Source organism: Homo sapiens, chromosome 11 (genome assembly GCF_000001405.40).
Source record: "Homo sapiens chromosome 11, GRCh38.p14 Primary Assembly".
Lineage (NCBI taxonomy): Eukaryota > Metazoa > Chordata > Mammalia > Primates > Hominidae > Homo > Homo sapiens.
Window position 1 is genome coordinate 126,340,965 of NC_000011.10, and position 20,837 is coordinate 126,361,801.

At 52.8% G+C, this 20,837-nt stretch overlaps 2 protein-coding genes and 1 long non-coding RNA gene across 14 annotated transcripts in view, besides 6 other annotated features; 2 read left to right on the plus strand and 1 right to left on the minus strand.

The window, feature by feature from the left end:
• Positions 1 to 9,041, plus strand: part of DCPS (decapping enzyme, scavenger) — a 45,946-nt gene extending 36,905 nt beyond the window's left edge. For both annotated transcript variants that reach the window (NM_001350236.2, NM_014026.6), the window contains exons 5-6: positions 2,343 to 2,453; positions 4,383 to 9,041. In NM_001350236.2, coding sequence (NP_001337165.1) covers positions 2,343 to 2,453; positions 4,383 to 4,649 — 378 coding nt within the window. In that variant the 3' untranslated portion in view covers positions 4,650 to 9,041. The remainder of the gene's footprint in view (positions 1 to 2,342; positions 2,454 to 4,382) is intronic.
• GSEC (G-quadruplex forming sequence containing lncRNA) lies at positions 752 to 14,623 on the minus strand. Its single transcript, NR_033839.1, has 2 exons — positions 14,478 to 14,623; positions 752 to 1,358 (listed from the first exon to the last, which is right to left on the minus strand). It is a non-coding gene; the product is annotated as a G-quadruplex forming sequence containing lncRNA (long non-coding RNA).
• Positions 13,614 to 14,357: an enhancer, noted in NCBI's record as "H3K27ac hESC enhancer chr11:126224473-126225216 (GRCh37/hg19 assembly coordinates)". NCBI's record gives its function as "activates a minimal SCP1, AML or CMV promoter by ChIP-STARR-seq in naive and primed H9 embryonic stem cells {active_cell/tissue: H9 hESC(naive and primed)}" and the evidence as "EXISTENCE:reporter gene assay evidence [ECO:0000049][PMID:30033119]".
• Positions 14,358 to 15,099: an enhancer, noted in NCBI's record as "H3K27ac-H3K4me1 hESC enhancer chr11:126225217-126225958 (GRCh37/hg19 assembly coordinates)". NCBI's record gives its function as "activates a minimal SCP1, AML or CMV promoter by ChIP-STARR-seq in naive H9 embryonic stem cells {active_cell/tissue: H9 hESC(naive)}" and the evidence as "EXISTENCE:reporter gene assay evidence [ECO:0000049][PMID:30033119]".
• Positions 14,561 to 14,940: a silencer, noted in NCBI's record as "silent region_4050". NCBI's record gives its function as "represses an Ori minimal core promoter by ATAC-STARR-seq in GM12878 lymphoblastoid cells {active_cell/tissue: GM12878}" and the evidence as "EXISTENCE:reporter gene assay evidence [ECO:0000049][PMID:35858748]".
• The window catches only part of ST3GAL4 (ST3 beta-galactoside alpha-2,3-sialyltransferase 4), a 58,953-nt gene continuing 52,837 nt past the window's right edge, over positions 14,722 to 20,837 (plus strand). For 4 of the 11 annotated variants that reach the window (NR_145671.2, NM_001254757.2, NM_001348400.2 and 1 more), the window contains exon 1: positions 14,722 to 14,878. Coding sequence is in view for 5 of the 11 variants with exons in the window: in NM_001348396.2 (NP_001335325.1) it covers positions 17,382 to 17,384 (3 nt within the window). In the remaining 6 variants the exon portion in view is untranslated. Of the gene's footprint in view, positions 14,879 to 15,047; positions 15,339 to 17,233; positions 17,385 to 18,994; positions 19,129 to 20,837 lie in introns of those variants that run through there. The other 7 variants (NM_001348397.2, XM_047427426.1, NM_001348399.2 and 4 more) reach the window with 5 other exon arrangements.
• Positions 15,100 to 15,843: an enhancer, noted in NCBI's record as "H3K27ac-H3K4me1 hESC enhancer chr11:126225959-126226702 (GRCh37/hg19 assembly coordinates)". NCBI's record gives its function as "activates a minimal SCP1, AML or CMV promoter by ChIP-STARR-seq in naive H9 embryonic stem cells {active_cell/tissue: H9 hESC(naive)}" and the evidence as "EXISTENCE:reporter gene assay evidence [ECO:0000049][PMID:30033119]".
• Positions 15,531 to 15,680: an enhancer, noted in NCBI's record as "active region_5709". NCBI's record gives its function as "activates an Ori minimal core promoter by ATAC-STARR-seq in GM12878 lymphoblastoid cells {active_cell/tissue: GM12878}" and the evidence as "EXISTENCE:reporter gene assay evidence [ECO:0000049][PMID:35858748]".
• Positions 17,330 to 18,071: an enhancer, noted in NCBI's record as "H3K4me1 hESC enhancer chr11:126228189-126228930 (GRCh37/hg19 assembly coordinates)". NCBI's record gives its function as "activates a minimal SCP1, AML or CMV promoter by ChIP-STARR-seq in naive H9 embryonic stem cells {active_cell/tissue: H9 hESC(naive)}" and the evidence as "EXISTENCE:reporter gene assay evidence [ECO:0000049][PMID:30033119]".

The window sequence follows — 20,837 nt, forward strand, 5'->3', positions numbered from 1 at the left end:
CAGTGAAAGTATGCTTCCTCACCCCACAGCCCTTCCTTTCCCTTCCCCAAAACAACTATTGTTGCTATTTCTTTGTCTCTGGTAACCTTTCTATATTGGGTATATAAACATATATGTACATGTATATATGGATACACATGCATTTTCAGTTCACATGATTTAAATTCTTTGGTCTAAAGTTCTCAGACCAGGCAACTCTTCCTTTGAGTCACCCCAGAGGTTAAGAGATGGCTCTCCAACGCTCCAGCAATTCTCTTTCTTCCTGCCAGGAAACTATTACTTTGATTTTACTGTCTTGACTTGTAAAAAGAGACTGACGATGTCTATCTGTCTTCCCAGAGTGACTGATGGGCCACCTTCTGGGGCGCCAGCCTGAGGCCCTTTCCTGCCCCTGGGCTAGCTTTTTTCAGATGACTTCTCTGAGCGAGGAGGCCTTTGGCTGCCAGCAGGAAATTTTGGGTCATGTCTAATATCAAAGAATGGATTATTTTCCCTCCCTTACCCAGCCTGTGAACTGACACCCAACACCATGGGCTGACACCCAGCACCAGGCTCCATGCCCTATTCTGTGCCAGTGGAGCAGAGAGTTGCGAGTTAGCGTCGTGTTTGTGATTTGTCAGCAGACATCATCTAAACAAATGTTACTATTATTTGGGAGTTTGGTGACAGTGACGCATAGAACAGCCGAAAACATACACCTTCACCACCACGTGCACACGTGCGCACGCACACAAATTCAAGTTCAAGCAATTTTGTTTCTGGGCTTCTCTTTGGACTCCTAAGTCCAAAGTGAGAGAATACATTTCTTGGCCACAGGCCATGAGAGAGTACACAGGGGACTTGGGGCAAACTGAGGCCTGGTGCATGTAGCTCAGCTACACGTGGAGCTTCCTGTGGGCTCATCTGCAGAAGGTCTAAGGCAGAGAACACAGATTCTTAGAACTCTGGCAGGAAAGAATGTTCATGGCATGTAAAGACCATGGCATAGTTGGATATCAGCCAGTCATATAGAAAAGCCCATCCTGAATTTTCAATTTGAGGCCCCAGGAAATGTGGTTGGGTGAGTCATGGTCCTCAAATTATCTTCACAAGGAATCTGGTAGCTCAGACTGCAGGGCAGGGCACTGCTGGGTTCTCCCCGTGCCTGGCCCCTCAGAGCCTTGATGTCTGGGGCCTTCCAGGCGCATGGATGGAATTACCAGGCAAGGCCAGGGTTTAGGTGAGCAGGGTGGGTTTTCTCAGCAAGAGGAAGAGTTCATTTGCTCTCTGGCACAAGATCTTGACTTTGATTCTTTGTACTGTTGTGACCTCCAGGTTTTCAGCCAGGTTGTGCTCAGGAAGGACAGCAGGAAGGTATCCTGTGCGATAGGGGAAGAGAGAAACAAGCTAACTGCCCTGGTGTTGTGTGTGCTGCTGAGCTGGCCCTTGGCTCCCTTCTCAGCCTTCAGACCCCACTCCACCCCTTCATGGGCCTTGACTCCAAACAAATCAAGTTGCTTCCTCTCCCCTTCCGTATACATTCTATGCCCTATACATTCTTGCCTCCGAGTCTTTGCTCTGTTTCCTCTACCTGAATACCCTTTCTCCAAATTCTACCTTTTTTCTAGACCTGATCCTCTGCCTTCTCTTCCAGGAGGCCTTCCTGGGTTCATCCAGGTAGCTAGAGTCTTTCCTTCCTCCTGCACTGGGATTATTTTGTGTCTTACAGTAGAGCTACTTGCATACATGCGATAAGACTGTAAACTCTCGGAGGGAGAGAGTTGCCCTTGCTCTTTCTTGAACCTCCTGGCTCCCTGCCCCGACAGCTCTGGGGAGTGAGCATATAGAACTCTCTGCTGGGCGCGGTGGCTCACGCCTGTAATCCCAGCACTTTGGGAGGCCGAGGCAGGCGGATCATGAAGTCAGGAGTTTGAGACCAGCCTGGCCAATATGGTGAAACCCCATCTCTACTAAAAATATAAAGAGCATGGTGGCACGCACCTGTAGTCCCAGCTACTTGGGAGGCTGAGGCAGAAGAATCGCTTGAACCCAGGAGGCGGAGGTTGCAGTGAGCCAAGATTGCGCCACTGCACTCCAGCCTGGGCGACAGAGCGAGACTCTGTCAAAAAAAAAAAAAAAAAAAAGGACTCTCACATGGTATTCTCTAGCAAGAAGCGTACACAGTAGGCCTGCTCCTTAAGACCATCCCACACGCCCGGGGTATGCAGATGCCCTGCGGGGTTTCTCCTGGTGCTGTAGGCCTCAGGGGTGGGTGCTTCCTGGCTTACGTGAGAACTCCAGGGTTGGCAGCCTCCCCAGGTCTGTTCCCTGCTGAGCCTGGTCTCCCCTTGCTCTCTACGCAGCTCGATGACTTGTACTTGATCGCCATCTGCCATCGCCGGGGCATCAGATCCCTACGCGACCTTACTCCGGAGCACTTGCCGCTGCTCAGGAACATCCTCCACCAGGGGCAGGTGAGTGGCTTCACCAAACCACGTGGAAGCTCAGAGAAATTAGACTCAGATTCCAGTGTGTTCCTGGGCCCCTTTCCTCACCTTTCCCAGAGTCCATCTTGGAGAGACTTCTCTCTGGATGCCAGTCTTGGGGACCCCATTAGGCTCTTGAGGTTGAAGAGCAGGGCTCTTTGTCCCTGGTCCTGCCACCTTTCCTCACCCTCACACGCCTTCCTCGGCCTTTCTCCATCTGGGATGCACTTCCACCCCTCACCCCATAGACTCTGGTCCTTAAGTCCTGGCCCCTCCTACTCCAGGATCACCTGTCTCTCTCATGACAACCATGACAACCACATCATGCCAGAGTTTCTTGGGAGTATGGGCACATGACTTCGATATGTGTGTACACGTGTGTCTCCTTGTCTAGATTGAAGACAGGCTGAATTCTGTAGCACCTGGTGTTCTGGGATACTTTCTCTCTGGGATATTTGTTGAATTGAATGAAATTATCGGGGCTCTAAACAGAGCCCAGGAGCACGGGGAGATGGGGGAAGAGTGTCTAGAATCTTGGGTGTGGTCCTGGCCTGACATTTGGACCCTAACCAGCTGAGTGGCCTGGGGCAGGTCACTTCACCTCCCTAAACCACATTATCTAGATGGATCCCTTCTAAATCCACCATCCTAAGGGGCTGGGTCTGAGTCTTTTTTCCACTCTGAAATGTGATGCTCTGCCTAACACGCCAGAGCTAGCAGTCACAACGATGCCCAGCCAGGAGAGAGGTTTGCCCCTTTTTGACCAGTGATGCTTCGAGGTGTTAATGCAGACCTGGAGGCAAGGCTCTGCCCATACCCAGCTTCCCCTGCTGCTGGGCCCCGATCTATCTTCCCTCCTGCTCACCCACGGCACCACCCCTTGGCTGCCTTTATCTTTGTGGGGTGACTTGTTCAGATCCTGAAGCAGTCTCTGGATATTACAAATGGCAAAGAATGGTGTCTTTCTCTTGGGGAGATGCCAGGCCAACACTTTGACCTGCCCTAGCAGCTCAGACAGCTCCACCCTGGCAGACAGACCTCACTTACTCCAGGAAGCCCCTCGGGTGCCTTGGCCCTGGTCTCGCCCCGCTGCAGGGATTCCTGGGGTGAGCTCCAAATGCAGAACACAGTTCTGGGGTATATACTGAGCCCACTGAGGCCCTAGTACTTTTCTCTTCACCTCTGACCACCTCAGGGATTTGCCCACAATGGAGATGAGAGTCTCCGCTTAATTCTATGCCTCACAGCCTCCTGAAGGTGGAGGTTGGTAGAAAAAGACCCACCCCTGAGCAAGGTGGAGGTGGGCAAAGGGAGCCAGGGCCAAAGTCAATGCTTTCCTCTTCTGCAAGGAGCCCGCTGAGACTTCGCCAGGTCTGTGTGGGAGCAGCCCCTCCCATACCCCTTCCACAGTCCCTGCTCTTTCACCAAGTTCTCAGCATAGCCCCATCCCCAACTTCATTGTTTCCAAGCTCCACCCTGTGCTATGCTAAAAGAGAGAATGAGGCTTCCTCCCATCCACTTCATGACTGATGAAATGCTTCTAAATCATGAAAGTCCCCATAGTCTTGGGAATCTGGGGCCTGTCTGTAGACACTGGGCCTTCCAAGATTCCCAGCAGCAACTGTTTGAGGAAGCCAGTGTTTTTTCCACGTTGGGGTGGGGAATGCTGATTGAGGCCGCTCCCCACTTCTTTTGGGAGAGTCTCAGCTTTGCTGCTGTCACCTGCACTTGTGGATTTCCTAGACTAGAAGACAGAGGAAGCTGAAGCAGACAGCAGGTAGAGAGCTGTTTGGAGGGTTTTTGTGAGCTGTCCCAGGCCAATCCAGGATTCAGATGGGAGGAGGGTCTAGGTGGGGACATGGCGCCGGGCCTCAGGCAGCACGGTGACTCCTGACCTGCCTGCCCCTGTCTCATCAGGAGGCCATCCTGCAGCGCTACCGGATGAAGGGAGACCATCTGCGAGTATACCTGCACTACCTGCCCTCCTACTACCACCTGCATGTGCACTTCACCGCCCTGGGCTTCGAGGCCCCCGGCTCAGGCGTGGAGCGGGCCCACCTGCTGGCTGAGGTGATCGAGAACTTGGAGTGTGACCCTAGGCACTACCAGCAGCGCACGCTCACCTTCGCCCTCAGGGCTGACGACCCCCTGCTCAAGCTCTTGCAGGAGGCTCAGCAAAGCTGAATTAACTCAGGCAGAAGAGCACAGATGTGTGGGATTGGGGGAGGAGTGGGGACAAGATTTTTTATCTCCAAGTGAATTTTCTAAAAATGTATTTTATACCGGCTTATTCCTAGTATTGAATAAACTAGCGGGCTCACTCAGTGTGGACAGCGTGGCCTGGGAGGCAGACAGATGGTGGGGGACAGTGGGTGGGTAGAACCTGTGGGAAGGCCTTGAGAATGGTGGAAAGTCTCCAGGTGGTGGTTTCAACTGACAGGTGGGAGCTGCCCTGGAAGGGTGCCGAGGGCCTTCTCCAAGCCCCAGGGCTCACCGTCCGTGGTGGCTTCCTTCTCCCCACTCTGTGCCTCTCCTGTTTGTACAACTTCTTATTCTGCTCCTCCCCATCACCCCTCCTCCTTCCCCTGCCATCCACCTCTCCTTTGAGGAGTTCCCCAAAAAACCAAACTTGGAAGCTTTCAGGAAATTATCTATACAGGTTTCTGATGGCACTTCCTCCTTCCAGCAGTGAGGTCACACCTCCCTGTGAGTCAGTCAACCCTGCTGATAAACTTCTTGTTGACGAGGATAGGGGCTTGGTGCCTGGAAATCGGCGGGTTTTAATAAGAATCAGATTATGCAAGGCCGAAAAGCCTGCCTTGCTCTGTTATTTGGTCAGCGAGTCCCCAGCCTTGAGTTTTTATCTCGGCAGGAAGACAAAACAGACTCACATGAAGCAGCCAGAAGATCAAGTGCAAAACAGTGAATCAGCAAGGGCAAATGATATGGTTGCAGTTGAATACAAAAGCCCGGAGGCGGCTCGGGTTCAAGGCCTATCAGAGGCAGATGTTCAGAGGATCTTGAGACCAGGAAGGGACCTCAAAGCGTCAGAGGCTGATGAGCAGTTAGGCAGCCAACAGGGCTCAAGCGGCGCAGGGACATGGCTTGTATGGGCGGGCACACAAGTAAACACACAGGCTCTCTCCAGCACACAGGACCAAGGCATCATGCTGCCAGAGGGGCTGGTGTTTGCCACTTTGTCAGAGTAGGGCTGTGGATTTTGTGCCTTGCTTGGGAAGCTCTCAGGGATGGCAGGATGGCAGGCTCCTAAGTGACAGCAGGGGGGAAGCTTGAGGCACAGTGGGTGGTCCTTACTCTCCATCCCCTGCCTGAGAACCAGGAAGCCTCATTCAGAGATTAGCCCCTTTACTGCAGGTGGTAGCCCAGGTGCAGCCAACCTGCTTCAGGGTCTCAGGGCCTGCTGTGGACCCCCATGGTCCTGGGAGAGACTCCTTAGAAACAGCAGAATCACGAACATGGTGAAACCCATCTCTACTAAAAAACAGAAAAATTAGCCAGGTGTGGTGGTGGGCTCCTATAATCCCACCTACTTGGGAGGCTGAAGCAGGAGAATCCCTTGAACCCGGGAGGCGGAGGTTGCCGTGAGCCACCGCACTTTGGCCTGGGTGACAGAGCAAGACTCCCTCTCAGAAAAAAAAATTAAAAAAATAGAAACAGCCGGGGAGTGGAGGGTGTGGTCAGAAAGCCTCAGGGACCTGCTTCAGCCTTCAGGGAGTTCAGATGAGGCACAATGAAGCCACTGGCCTCCACTCAGCCATTCTTCCCTGCAGCTCTTTTTTTTTTTTTTTTTTTTGAGACAATCTCGCTCCATCACCCAGGCTGGAGTGCAGTGGCACAATCTCGACTCACTGCAACCTCTGCCTCCTGGGTTCAAGTGATTCTCCTGCCTCAGCCTCCTGAGTAGCTGGGACTACAGGGGTGCGCCCCCATGCCCAGCTAATTTTTGTATTTTTAGTAGAGACGGGGTTTCACCATGTTGGCCAGGCTGGTCTCCAACTCCTGGCCTCAGGTGATCCACCCATCTCGGCCTCCCAAAGTGCTGGGATTCCAGGCGTGAGCCACCGCGCCCAGCCCCTGCAATACGTCAACAGTCCCTAGATTCAGGCAACATGGAGTTGCAGCCAAGGAACTTTGAGGTAGTGACCAATGCAGGGAGGTCTGACAGAGAATCAGCAGGATCCATTTCATGGCCACCACACATCTGACTGACTCCTTCTTGGGCTAAGCAAATACTTTTGTGGGCAGTGACACTGGCAGCTGCTGGGGTCTTGGCAGGAGGTTGGATGGAGGTCTTCTCCCAGAGCAGTGTCCAGCTTGCAGGAATGCTCCCTGCGTCTCAGTTGTGCCCATTCCAGGTCCAGGGGAAAGAAGTGACCCGCTTCCCCTCTGAAAGCAGATGTGGTCCCAACAAGCAAACACGGTCTCCATCTCCAGCACCACAACTGCCACGGAGCAGAGGGAGGCCTCCCTGTGGAGCAGCCCTTCCCTGTGGCCTCAGCCCATGCCCTCCTGCCCAGCCCCCAGTGGTGCTGCTGGAGGGTCTGACTCCACGGGCTCCCGCTGACCTTGCCGTTCCTTCCCCTCATCTCGTAGCGCCTGGCCCCTGGAGGAAGGTGGGTAGGAATTTGACACCGGATAAATAAATGTTTGAGGGGCAAGAGAGATGGGACAGAGTTCACCCAACAGGACAGACGAGGCTGGCAGTCACAGCAGAGGGCAGGCACTCAGGTCTGGAGAGGCAGGGCATGGAGACAGGGACCCACACTCTGGAAGGTTTCTCGACTCCCCCGAGGGGCTGGCCAGTTCTGTCTTCCTTCTGCCCACTCTGTGGGGAGGAGCCTCTCTGGGATAGCGTCCCCTCACTCCTCTCCCAGCCTCGTTTATCTTCACCACAGTACAGAAGGGGGCCCCTCTCCAGGCCTCACCACTTAACTTTTCTTGTACATGGAAAGACAAGCCTCTGCTAGAGGCCTGGCAAGGGTTCCCCTTCAGAGCCAGCCAGTGCTCTGCTGCTGTAATCTCCAGGGACCCTGCCGGCCACGGCCCCCATGCAGCTCCCTCCCTCAATCCAACCCTCTTTGGGCTTATCACCCTCAAGGTCTAGAGTGCACCAGGGTTGGCTGCTCTGCCAAGTCCTGTTGAGACTCCAAAAGCATAGTCTGTCTTTATTAGGGTGACCTTCATATCAGACTCCCAGGTAACTCAAGATGATAGCTTTGCAATATAGTGCCTCCTTTTATTCCTATTTGTGAGTTTCTCCGCTTTCCTCACTAGACTGAGAGGGTCTTGAGGGTAGGAGCTTTGTTTTAGTTATCTCTCTATCCCTGGCCCCTAAGACACTACCTGGCTCAGCAAACCAACCTTTGAGACAAAGCAACATTATAACACTACATTCATATAGCAGATCATTTCATGACCCACATTCTCCTTCCTTTTTACGAAGAAATGGGCTCAGGATGTCTTGTCCAGCATTATGGAGTGAACGTCAGCTCCAGGAAGCAGAGACTTCTGGCCCTTTGTTCACCATTTCCCCAGAACCTAGGGTGGTGACTCACCTATAAGTGCTCAAAAAACATGTGGCGAATGGAGGACCAGAGCTAGGCTCTGAATGAGGCCTCCTGGATCTCACGCAGGGGATGGAGAGTAAGGACCAGCCCCTCTACCTCATGCTTTCTTCCTGCTATCTCGTAAGAGCCCAACATCCTTCTGTCCTGAGCAAGCCACAAGCTGCAGCCCTGCCTTGACAAAATGGCAAATGCCAGCCCCTCTGGCAGCATGACACCTTGGTCCTGTGTGCTGCAGAGTGCCTCATGTGTTGAACTGTGTGCCCTCAGAAGCATGCCATGCCCCCGCTCTGCTGGAGCAGTGGCAGATGTCACCCTTCCTAGATAAATCCTGGACGGCTCCACGACTGGCTTTTAGCCCTCAACACTTGGCCTACATTCTTTCTGGCTTGGTTGGAGAAGGAAAGAAGCAGTTGGAGGCATGACTGCTATTGTTCCTTGGCTTCTCTCCATTTGTCTCAAACTTTCCTAATAGAGCAAAATTGCTGAGTGGTCTCTATTTACCAACATGAAACAGAAAAATACCATCTCAGGCTCCATATTCCATGTCCCTGTTGAATACAGATCCCCGAACTGAGAAATAAGAAACAACTACATACGAAGTAATACTTGAAAATGTTTCTCTTGTAATACTTCCATATCCAAAGCATTTGAATATATTTATTTTATTGATGTAGGTCTGCCAACTCTTCCTTCTCAGGAAGGACTGTTTTTATTCCAAACATGTATATATAAGGTTAAAATGTATTTTTTAAAATAAGATAATTATTGATAGTTGTTTTTAAAATAGCCTTGCTTAGCAAAATAAATGTTGGCAACCCTAAGTTTGTTCTATTATAATATTATTGAAATTACATTGAATTCTGAAATCCATGTCAACTTGAAGTTACCAAGTTTTAACCACTGTTAGAAAATAAGCAGGAATGAAATCTGTTTCAAGCGTTTCAATTTCAATACAATTTAATAAACAGGCTTTGAGCATCTACCCCCACCCCCTTTTGGTTTTTTTGCAAGCACCTGGAGGCAGAGCTCATGTGGAGCTTACAATTTAGTAGGAACACAGGCATTAATTACAAAGTAATTACAATGCTGATGAGTGTGTTGAAGTGGAGGGGGCTATGGGGCTTCAGCCCCAAAAAGCTAAACCTGCAGGCTAAAACTTTAAAAAAATATATTTAATTGGCAAATAAAAATAGTATACATTTATGGTGTACAACATGTTTTGTTATATGTATACACTGTGGAATCACTAAATCGGGCTAATTAACATATGCATTATGTCACATATTTATCATTTTGTAATGGTGAGAACATTTAAAATCTCTGTGAGCAATTTTCAAGTATACAGTACATTGCTTTTTTTGTTTTTTTGAAACAGAGTCTCACTGTGTCACCCAGGCTGGAGGGCAGTGGCGCAGTCTCGACTCACTGCAACCTCCACCTCCTGGGTTCAAGCGATTCAGCCTCCCAAGTAGCTGAGATTACAGGCGCACACCACCACACCTGGCTAATTTTGTAGTTTTATAGTAGAGACGGGGTTTCACCATGTTGGACAAGCTGGTCTAGAACTCCTGACCTCAAGTGATCTGTCTGCCTCAGCTTCCCAAAGTGCTGGGATTACAGGCGTAGGCCACCACCCCCCGCCCAGTACATTGTTATTAACTATTGTCACCATGTGGCACAATAGATCTCTGGAACTTCTTCCTCCCATCCAACTGAAAGTTTGCATTCTCTGACCATCTCCCCATTCCAACAGGCAACCACCATTCTACTCTCTGCTTCTGTGAGTTCCACTTTGTTAGGTTCTACACACGAGATCACGCAGCGTTTGTCTTCTTGTGCTCTAGGCTGGATCTTGGTTATCAGCCCAATGACAAGCAGAGTAAAGGCCCGGAAGTTAGGGAGACCAGGGCTCAGTGTGGCTGGCACTGAGAGCTGAGCTTCTAGCGTGGGCCCACACATACATTTAAGACTGTAGCCAATTTTCCTTTCAGAACCACGATGAAGAAATGAAAGCCAAGGCCAAGAAAATCTTTAATGTTCTGTTCCTCCCCTGCTTGGGAAGTAGAGTGGTCTGAAGGCTCCAACACAGAATCTGTGCCATAACCAAGTCTTATCTGGGGCAAGTTACATAACTGCTCATGAAATAGGAGTGATAACAATGCTTCCCCCAGACGGTTTTTCTGAGGGTTAAATAAGAATTTTGTGGGACATAGTAATCACTCAGTAAATGTTCTGGTCTGAGAGTGACCAAAAGGATGGAACTAGAGATATTTGGGCAAGATATTTGCTATGGCCTGAACGTCTGTGTTCCCCTAAAATTCATATGTGGAAATCCTAACACCCAAGGCAATCGTGGGGCCTTTGGGAGGTGATTAGGCCATGAGGGTGGGGGGCCCCCATTAATGGGATTAGTGCCTCATAAAAGAGATCCCAGAGTCACCCCTAGGCCCTTCCTCTCACTGTGAGGTTACAGTGAGAAGATGACCTTGTATGAACCAGGAAGCAGGCTGCTGGCATCTTCATCTTAGACTTTCTAGCCTACAGAACTGTGAGAGATTTCTGTAGTTTATAAGCCATCCAGTCTACATTTTGTATAACAGACCAAACAAATATTAAAAATAACTTCGTGATTAGAAGTGCTACAAAATGCTAGACTACGCATGGAACCAAGAGTTTCTATTTATTTACTTTTTGAGACAGTCTCACTCTGTTGCCAGGCTGGAGTGCAGTGGCTCAATCTCGGCTCACTGCAACCTCCGCCTCCCGGGTTCAAGTGATTCTCCTGCCTCAGCCTCCTGAGTAGCTGGGATTACAGGCACCCACTACCACGCCCAGTTAATTTTTGTGTTTTTAGTAGAGATGGGGTTTCACCATGTTGGCCAGGCTGGTCTCGAAATTCCGACTTCTGGTGATCCACCCACCTCGGCCTCCCAAAGTGCTGAGATTACGGGCATGAGCCAACACTCCTGGCCAACCAAGAGGTTTCAAGGAAAAAAGCCGTAAACTTTTGGTGGTTAACTGACTGTGGTCCTAAACAGAGGCAGGGGCTGTGTGCAATGACTTCTCAGGATCTCTTTCAGCCTACAGGTTCCTGGAATGCATTTCAGCTAACACTACAAGAGTGATGTCCCTTGCTACTGAGAACCCTGGGAACAGCTCAGCTCCATGGTCCAGCCATATAAATCTGATAAAAATAGGAGCTGAAATACCATCCTGGAGTTGCTATTTTTAAAATCATCTGAGATGCTGGATGGGGTATATTTCTTCCTCAAACACATCTTGCTGTTTCCTCCTCTTGGTGGGCAGGATGCTAACGTGGCACATGATACAGGAGCTGTTCCACGCTGCTGCTCACACCCACTCCTGCCAGAGAGGGGCCGCAGGGCCAGGGCTTCCCAGATCTAGATGCACCTGCTCCTCCCTCTGCTCCTGAGGCCCCTCTGGTTGCCCCAGCACAGAGGTGTCCTGCCACTTCCACCAAGCAGAAACACAGGAGAGTTTGGGAGGCAAAGGAAATGGGAATGGAGGCAGCACTGATGGCTTGGAAGGGGACTAAGACCTGTTGTTCCTCTGGTTGCCTTGGTCCCACTTTGGCACAGTTAACATCCAAAAGAAACAGTCCCCATGGGCCAAAGCCCTGCTTATCCCATCCTACTGCCTCTTGCTGAGCCGCTCATCATGTGTTGTAGTTGCACCAAAGGGGGGCCTGGGGCCAAAAAAGCACATGGAGAGGAGAGAGGAGAGAAGAGGAGAAGGAAAGATGGAAAGACAAGAAAAGAGAGAGAGAGAGGAAGGAAGGAAAGAAGGAAGGAAGAAAAAAAAAGAAAGAAAAAGAAAGAAGAGGAGAAGGAAAGATGGAAAGACAAGAAAAGAGAGAGAAAGGAAGGAAGGAAAGAAGGAAGAAAGGAAAGAAAAGAGAAGAGGAGAAGGAAAGATGGAAAGACAAGAAAAGAGAGAGAGAAAGGAACGAAGGAAAGAAGGAAGGAAGAAAGGAAAGAAAGAAAAAGAGAAGAGAAGGAAAGATGGAAAGACAAGAAGAGAGAGAGAGAAAGCAAGGAAGGAAAGAAGGAAGAAAAAGAAAGAAAAAGAGAAGAGGAGAAGGAAAGATGGAAAGACAAGAAAAGAGAGAGAAAGGAAGGAAGGAAAGAAGGAAGGAAGAAAGGAAAGAAAAAGAAAGAAGAGGAGAAAGAAAGATGGAAAGACAAGAAAAAGAGAGAGAAAGGAAGGAAGGAAAGAAGGAAGGAAGAAAGGAAAGAAAGAAAAAGAAAGAAGAGGAGAAGGAAAGATGGAAAGACAAGAAGAGAGAGAAAGGAAGGAAGGAAAGAAGGAAGGAAGAAAAGAAAGAAAGAAAAAGAGAGAAGAGAAGAGGAGAAAGGCACCAGAATTGCTTCCCTCCTGCCCCAAAGATGACATGGCTTCTAGGCAGTGAGCTAAGCTTGTGGCCATGCTGTTAAGAAACTGGAGGGAAAAGATCATCATGAGTAAGCACATTGTGGCCTAACCTGAGGGGAGCAGAATTACGGTTAGCTTCTGGGCACCTAGTAACCAGGCTTGGGATAAGCTGGGGGAGAGGCCTGAATACAGCTTATAGGTTAGAAAAGGCACGCCACCTGCATAGTAACAGCACACACTTATATATAGCAGGTTATGCTTTCAGACCAAATTCGCATCCATTGCCTGATTTAATGCCAACAATAGCCCTTTGAATAAGCAGTTATTTCCTTTCCCCTCCCCCCACCCCAGTAAGAAAACTAAAGCTATTTAGTGGCAGAGACAAGAGTTGGAACTCAGGTCTCCAGGAACAAATGCTGGTTCTTAAGTTCCATTTTCTGGTAGAGTGACATTTACGTGATTCACGGCAAGAACTGCAAACTGTGCTTAGATCTAGTTCATCAAATGGCCAAGTTTAGAGGCTGGGCTGACGCTTGGATCAGTTCTGTCAGATTCACTTAGTTATGAAGGGCAGCTGCTTACTCCCTTTGGGCCAGTCTTCCCATCTGTAGAACAAGGAGGCTCTTCCCTCTTCCTCGACTTGCCCGAGGCAGGGACTTAGTCATTGTGTTCTTTATACCCAGCTTAATTCCAGGCCTGGAGATGGCATGCAATAAATAGTTGTTGAATGGCTCACGCCTGTAATCCCAACACTTTGGGAGGCCGAGGCGGGCGGATCATAAGGTCAAGAGATCGAGACCATCCTGGCCAGCATGGTGAAACCTCGTCTCTACTAAAAATACAAAAATTAGCTGGGCATGGTGGCACGCGCCTGTAGTCCCAGCTACTCGGGAGGCTGAGGCAGGAGAATCACTTGAACCCGGGAGGCAGAGGTTGCAGTGAGCCAAGATCACGCCAGTGCACTCCAGCCTGGCGACAGAGCGAGACTCTGTCTCAAAATAATAAATAAATAAATAAATAAATAAATAAATAAATAGTTGTTGAATGCATGTCTGACTGATTAAGCCAAAGGCACCATATTCAAACAAAATCAGACACTGGTGCAATGCCAAACAGCTTCTGCCCGTGCAAGGAATGATTTAGCATGGAGCACAGTCACCTGCAGAGGAACAACTTGGAGGCAGACTCTCCTTACTCAGCTCACTTGGAGCAGAGCTTCCTGAGTTGGGGGTTCTTGACAGATAAGCCCTCCAGCTTCAGCAGAAGCAGGCTTGGAGCTGCCACTTCTCTGAACCCCCTTGCACTTACTGTCAGTCACTCACACCTTGCACTTATTCACATCCTATCCTGCCTCGTTCTTGAATGGAGTCCATGGTGAGCCTTCTCTGTGCCGCTGGATGGTAAGCTTCCTGGGGACAGGGAATGGGTCTGATAGTTTCCTTGGAGCCCCTGGCGCTCCCGGCACTGGGCTGTTGATACGTGGGGCTCCGGAAACACTGTGCTGACCTGTGAAAGGGACTGGCCTAAGGGGCTGTGGATTGTCCTGTAGGGTGACTTCTGAACTGTTCTTCAGCCTGGGCAGTTCCCAGGTTTATTTGGGGGGATGCCTGGGTCCAAAGAACCAGGGTCAGGGGCCCAGGGGTTTCTTCCTGGAGACAGGATGCCTGGCGCCTTCAATAACGGAAAGGAAACTGAGAAACTTTCTGAGGCCAAGATAAAGAGTATGCAAGTGAGGGGTGCAGAGAGAGCAGTTTAGGGGCAGCAGGCCCCAACCGAAGCAGAGGAAGGGCCCACGTCTGGGCCCAGGGGACTGACTGGCTGCCTTGCGTGCATGGGGCACGGGAAGCATAGGCTCCCGGAACAGGACCCTGCCCCAGTTTCCCCAGTGAGGGAAGGACACCGTTCCCCGTGGGATAGAGCACTGCACCCTTTCTTGATTCTCATTGTTCCCGGGAGCGAGCGCCTTGGCTGCGCTGGGCATACCCACCCTGGCGCCATTCACAGGCAGTGCCTGCCCTGGCCCTGTGCTCACCCCATCAGGCCTCCTCTTCCGCCTCTCTGGCACCCACGGCGCCCCTGCTTGCCTCTGTCCGGGTCTCGGAGGCGCGAACACCATCCCAAGCCTGCGACCGCGCGGCATCACCCCCGCCCTTCCCCCTCCTCCACCCCGCCCTTTCTACCCCTCCCGGGAGCTCCTGGGAGTCGGGCCGCCGTGTGCGCAAGCGTGTCCAGCCCCTTCCCCGCCCCCAACCCGGGCCCGGGTCCCCGCCTCCCCTGCAGGCGGACTCGCCCGCTCCCAGGCCGGACCCGCGCCCGGGACAGGGACCCGGCCGAGTCGAGCCGTCGCGCCAGCGCTGCGCCGCCGGTCGGTGCGCCTAGCGGATCGGAGCTGCGCGCGGAACCGTGCTGCCCCGCCCCGCTCCACCCGTGAGGGTGAGTACGCGGCGGCGGTGCGCGGGGGCCCGCGGGGCGGGGCGGGGCGGGGAGCCGCGGGGTCCTCGGCCGCCTGACCCCAGCCGGCGCCGCGCCTCCCGGAGGGGGTCGGGCCCTGCACGTGGGCGCAGCGCGGGTCGGGGTGGGGCTGCCACAGCCCTGCGGAGCTGCTTTCCGGGGTCCCTTTCCCTGGACCAGATTTTCGCGGGAAGCCGGATCCTCTCCGTTCCCTTGGAGTGAGCAAGCGGGACAGTTCTGCGGAAAGTTTCCGCCCCCAATCCCCCAGCCCTGCGCCCGGACTGAAGCGGCGGCCCCCACCTCCAGCATCCTCGAGCGATGGTTTCTCCCACAACTACCCCGGTCAGGTCCAGCACTTGGGAGCTGACTGTGCTGGAGGTGACAGGCTTTGCGGGGTCCGCCTGTGTGCAGGAGTCGCAAGGTCGCTGAGCAGGACCCAAAGGTGGAGTTGTCAGTGGGAGGCCGGCTGTGCCCAGGGTCCTAGGGCCACGTTATGGGGGTCGTCAGGCCTAGGCCACTGTGCCTCAGGGCTGCATGGGTGGTGAGCAGTGGGAGGGATGCGATGGGGGGAGTGGGCTCAGCTGTCTGCTGTGGGTGTTTCCTCGGGGACCTGGCTGGCAGGGACCTCCCGGCCAGCCCAGAACTGCCAACATGTCTGCCAGCACTGCCCCTCCATTCCCAGTCCTGGGGGGAGGCTCTGTCTGGGCAGCTTGAGGCCTGACCTACTGTGGCTGCTTCCTCTGCTCCCCAGCCTGGGTCCTGAGGGCCTGGCTTAAGGGAACTGCTGCCAGAAGGCTGGGAGTGTAGGCAGTGTTCGGGTGCCCAGCTGTGCCCTGTCTGACCTCATGGCCACCCACAAGCTGGCACCCCCCACAGGCCTCTTGGGGAAGCCTGTACTTTCCACCGCCGGAGGCGGGTACCGCGTGGAAGCCAGGCTCAGGCGGACTCATTCTTTTTGAACTTTGGGAACAGGCCTGGTACAGGCTGAGTTCTCACAAGAGACACACACCCGTGTCACTGTCTCCTGAGCTGTGCCGGACCCGTCCTACAGACTCCACCTCCTCTAGGTCCTGGCCCTGGCATCTGCCAGGGGGATTTTAAATGAGTTGATATATGCTAAGTGCTTTGAAAGGCGCCTGCACGGAGGGAGAGCTGTATAAATATTCACTATTGGTAATATTTCTCCCATGCTGTTACTCTCCAAAGCTGCCCGATAATTCTAGAGTGGGTTCCGGGGACGTGCCCGCTGTTTGGGGCCTAGAAATGAACTCGGGAGGTTGTTTTGCTTGCTGAGAGCTGGTCTGGGAATGCCCCTTGACCGTTCCCTGCCCTGCTCCTGGCCCACTCCCAGACTGCTCCTGTGCCTGGCCCCATTGCGCTGGGTGGGTGATCCTAAGCTGCCCCATGGGCCCTGGGCTCTGTCAAGACATGGGGAGCTTGCCAGGAGTTGGGGCCAGATCCCCCAGACTCCAAGATGGTAACCGAGGTTGTGAGGGTGCACATGGAAGGAAGAGTTAGAAGAGTGAATTGGAAATTGCCAGCTTGGACTTTGGGCAGAGTGGGTGTCTTTAGCTTGGGGATGGGTTGTTGTTCAGAGACAACAGGGCCGCCTTCTCTGTGAGCTGGCGGCCCAGGCTGAGGTGCCTCTGGGCTGCCTTCCCTACGGGAAGCAGTGACTGGCCCTCTGCTTCTCAGGAAGAGAGTGCCGTGCCCCCGCCAGCCTCCCAACCTCGTTAGACTCCTAGAATCCGGTTTTCTGGATAGAACTAAGAATCTGCTCCTTTCTGGACTTTTAATCCTGGAAAGGGCTCCCTTCCCCAGCAGGAGCAGAGAGACCAAACCCCCTTTCTGTGCTCCATCTTGAGCTGTCATTCTGTCCTAACTCCCCACTGGCCACCATCTGCCCTTGCTTTGGGGGCTACCCCAGGTCTGACTTGGGCACGTTCTCTGGGTCTCTCCTCAGAGAGGCTGCTCCTGGGGTTGTCCCAATGGAATTGGGAATTCTTCTCAGAATGGCTCAAAGGTTTGCACCATCTGTTGGAGGGAAGGGATCCCTCTATCTTGGACTAATACAAATGTTTCCGTGCCTGCCAAGTTCCAGACCCTGGGCCGATAGGGAAAGGAGCTGGCTGGGGGGCCTGCAGGGGATGGAGAGGGAGCTTGGGCCCCAAGTGGGGTCTGAAGTCCAAGCCTACAGATTGCCATCAAGGCAGCCGCTAGAGCCTAGCCCAGCTCCTGGCCCCTCGGAGATGGACCTTAGATGCTGGAGAGCGGGGCAGTCCAGCAGTGCAGGGTGGGACACCCCGAGCAAACAGCCCCTGCTTCCTGCCCCCTCAGTTCAGTCGCACTGGGCCGGCTGGACGTTTCCCTGCAACAGGCCCCTGCTGGTGGTTTAGCTCCCGCTCCGTGTTTCCCTCACGCTGGGATCCTCCTTCCTACTCAAGACCCACGACCTTGACCTGAAGCTTTTGGTTGCCGGGAGGAAATGGTGAGTGTAGGCAGATTTGGGTGACTCTTGTTATTAACCCCCTCTTCTTTGTTGCCCCCTTCCCAGAGGCTTCTGTATGAGTGTCCTGAGTGGCCCTGGATGGACTACTGGCTGTCCCTGGCCTCAGAATCACCCCAACCCCTGCCACATTTCGGGGAGGGAGGTGTGTGAATGATGTCCTTTATTCTACAGACTGAGGAAGTGGTCAGTGTAGCTTCACGTGAGAGCAGCAGCGTGCGATGCCCAGGCCCTAGCCAAGTGCTGGTCAGCTTTCTGACTGGAGCCCCTGAGCCCTGCAGGGGCTGAATTCCCCCAAAGGTTGCTTGGGTTGTTGCATTTCGGGGTTAGAGGGTGTGGGTGTCCAGAGCTGTGGGTTTTTAGTGTTGGCTGAGCCCTTTACCTGGGACCTACAGCCTGGCCACAACCCCATCTCTGTTCCCCTGTACCCCACACTGCCCTGTGATAGGATGTGATAAGATGGTAGGATTGCCTATACTGAAGCCCTGGGTGCCACTGCTGGCCCAGCAGGGAGGAGGTTGCTGCTGCTCGGGCTGAAGTGAGGTGTGGGTCTGGCTGGGCCTCCAGTTTCCCACCTGGGCCTTGATTGTGAGGAAGGCCTGGCCTGGCTGCAGAAGCCCAGAAGCACCTGAGTAGGAGAGTTCCTTTGTCCCACCTGCAGCTCATTCAAGCCTGTGCATGGGGGTTGGGGTCCTCAGGATCTTGCTTTCCTGTTTAGGGGAGGCAGCCCCAAAGAGTGCTGGGACCAGTTTGGAGAGTGCTAAGGAATGCTGGTCTGCAGCGACCCTACTTGTGCTCTGCGTCCTCTGCCAACTGCAGCATGGGTGAACATCTGTACATCTGTCCCCATAATGAAAATGGCCTCAGCAAATAACAAAAATATTACCATTTAGCAATCAGGCACTTATTAAAAGCCTGGCCCAATAAACTTAAAAAAAAAAAAAAGATGTGCTAGACACTTTACGTCCCTTCATGTGAGCTTCACACAACCCTGTAATTAAGCCCATTTATAAATGAAGAAATGGAGGATTGAAGGATTAAGTTACTTGGCCAAGGTCATACAGCTCGTAAGCAGCTGAGCTAGGACTCAAATCCAGGCTTGCTTCCAAAACCTTCACTTTTCAGCCCAGTTCTCAACTGCCCCCTGGAGTTTGCTCATTTTGCCCCATGAAGAAACAGATCCCAGCTCAAAGGCGTGAAGGGGTTTGCTCAAGGCCACAGTGTATTAGTGTCAAAGGTGGAACACAAACCCTGACCTCTGAGTGCTCTCCCGAACCCCACATCCCGGCCGGGCCGTACCCTGAGCACACGCTTGTCCGCTTTCTCAGCTGGGCGGGGCGGGGCAGGACAAGGTTCTTCTCCCTCCCTCCTTCCCTCCTTCCCTCCTTCCCTCCTTCCCCGTGGGCCCTCCCAGCCTCCCCAGCCCCCACCTCTGCTGCTTTCCCTTGGCAATTGCTTCCATCTGGCCTGCCTGCAGCTCCTATTCCTTTGGAAATGTGGCTGCCGCCCACATGGCTGCAAGGCAACCACGGCCACACGTGGGGAAGGGGAGGGGCCCTATGGGGTCTAAGCACAGGGAACCCAGCCAAAGTGGCTGCTCCTGGCGTCTGGCATCCTGATTCCTGCCAGGCAGAAGCACCTTGGCTGCCTGGCCCTCCTTGATGCCCGTCCTGGGCTGGCTCAAGGCCAGAGAGGCTCCCAAAGACCCAATTCTCCTTCCAACATGGTGAGCTGTTTTGCCCACAGACAAGCTCCGCACCGGCAGCCCTCCCTGTCTCTTAGAGGTTGCTCAGGTTGGGAGGAGGGATTCCTGGCAGGAGAGAATTAGGGGCCAGCCGGGGTATACCCTGGGTTCCCACTGGGTTCTGATCATTTGGAGGGAAGTCATGCAAGGGACTGACGAGGGCAGAGGCTGAGGGATCCGCGGAGTTCTGGGCAGGCGAGGAGGCAGCTGACTTGCTCATGACTGTGGGTATGCGCCACCACACTAGGCTAATTTTTCTATTTTTTGTAGATACAGGGTTTTGCCATGTTGCCCAGGCTGGTTTTTGTTTGTTTGTTTTGTTTTGTTTTTGAGACAGAGTTTTGCTCTTGTTTCCTAGGCTGGAGTGCAGTGGCGCGATCTCGGCTAACTGCAACCTCCATCTTCTGGTTTCAAGTTATTCTCCTGCCTCAGCCTCCTGAGTAGCTGAGATTACAGGCACCCGCCACCACGCCTGGCTAATTTTTGTACTTTTAGTAGAGACAGGGTTTCATCATGTTGGCCAGGCTGGTCTCGAACTCCTGACCTTGTGATCCGCCCACCTCAGCCTCCCAAAGTGCTGGGATTACAGGCGTGAGCCACCGTGCCCAGCCGAGCGTGTCTGTCTTGTTCACTGGTGTATTTTCTTAATGCCTGGAATGATGTCTAGCAAACAATAAGCACTCAATAGATTCTTGTGTGATGAGTGATGGAAATGCAGCTCAGGTATGCTGATTTGTCTTTGCTGCATCTTTACTTTGCTTCCTCCTCCCAGGGCAAAGGGAAAAAGTTTCCCTTTTGCCAGTTGAGCTGTTTGCCAGAGAAAGGTCTGGCCCCATCTGTGTGCTGCCACCTTGGGGGTCTCTGTTCAGACCTCAGAGAGGCAGGCAGGAACCCAGGTGAGGATGGGCAGGAGCTTGTCCCCTGAGGAGTGCATGCCCCATTCCACCCACCACAGGGTCGGCTGGCCACATTTCTCTACCCATCACCCCTCCCTAGTAACCTTCAGGTCCCTGCAGACAGGTCCTGACCTCAGCTCCAATCCCTATGTCAGTCCTCTCCTTATTTGAGGCCCAAGAAAGGTACCCCTACGGTGGAACCCTCACTTGGGTCCTGAGAGGGAGTGACAGCTTTGGAAGAGCGAGGGGTTCACCCACATTTGCCTCCTCCTGAACAGCTCCACTTTTATTCCTTGTACATATTGCGTTTCCACTTCAATTTTTTTTTGAAACTGTGACAGAGGGTTTCTTGGCTTTAATTTTTTTTTTTTTTTGAAAACCCCCATTGAGTTCCAGTTGTGACCCCCCTGTGGTTCTCATTTTCTGGTAGCATGCCGTGTGGGGTCTCACCTCCTCGCCTTTGCTTCTGCTGCCCCCTCACATGGCTTGGGCATTGTTGGTAATGACCTTGCTAGACTGCAAATGTCCTTCAGTATCAACTGAAGCCCCAGTCCTGGGAAGCCTCCGTGGCCACCCAGCACCGGCACTTCCTCCCCCTTCCTCCCCCTGCGTTCTCCACTCCCTGCAGGTCCTATGCCTGTGACAGGGAGGGAACCCTGTGCTGGGGTGACCCCAGCATGGACCTCAGTGGGGCTCAGGCTGAACCAAAGGTAGGTGGTTCTGGGGGTAGTGCCTGAGGTGGTTGTATGGAGCTGTGAGATTTGTATTCCTAGAAGCAGGTTGGAGGCTCTCAGC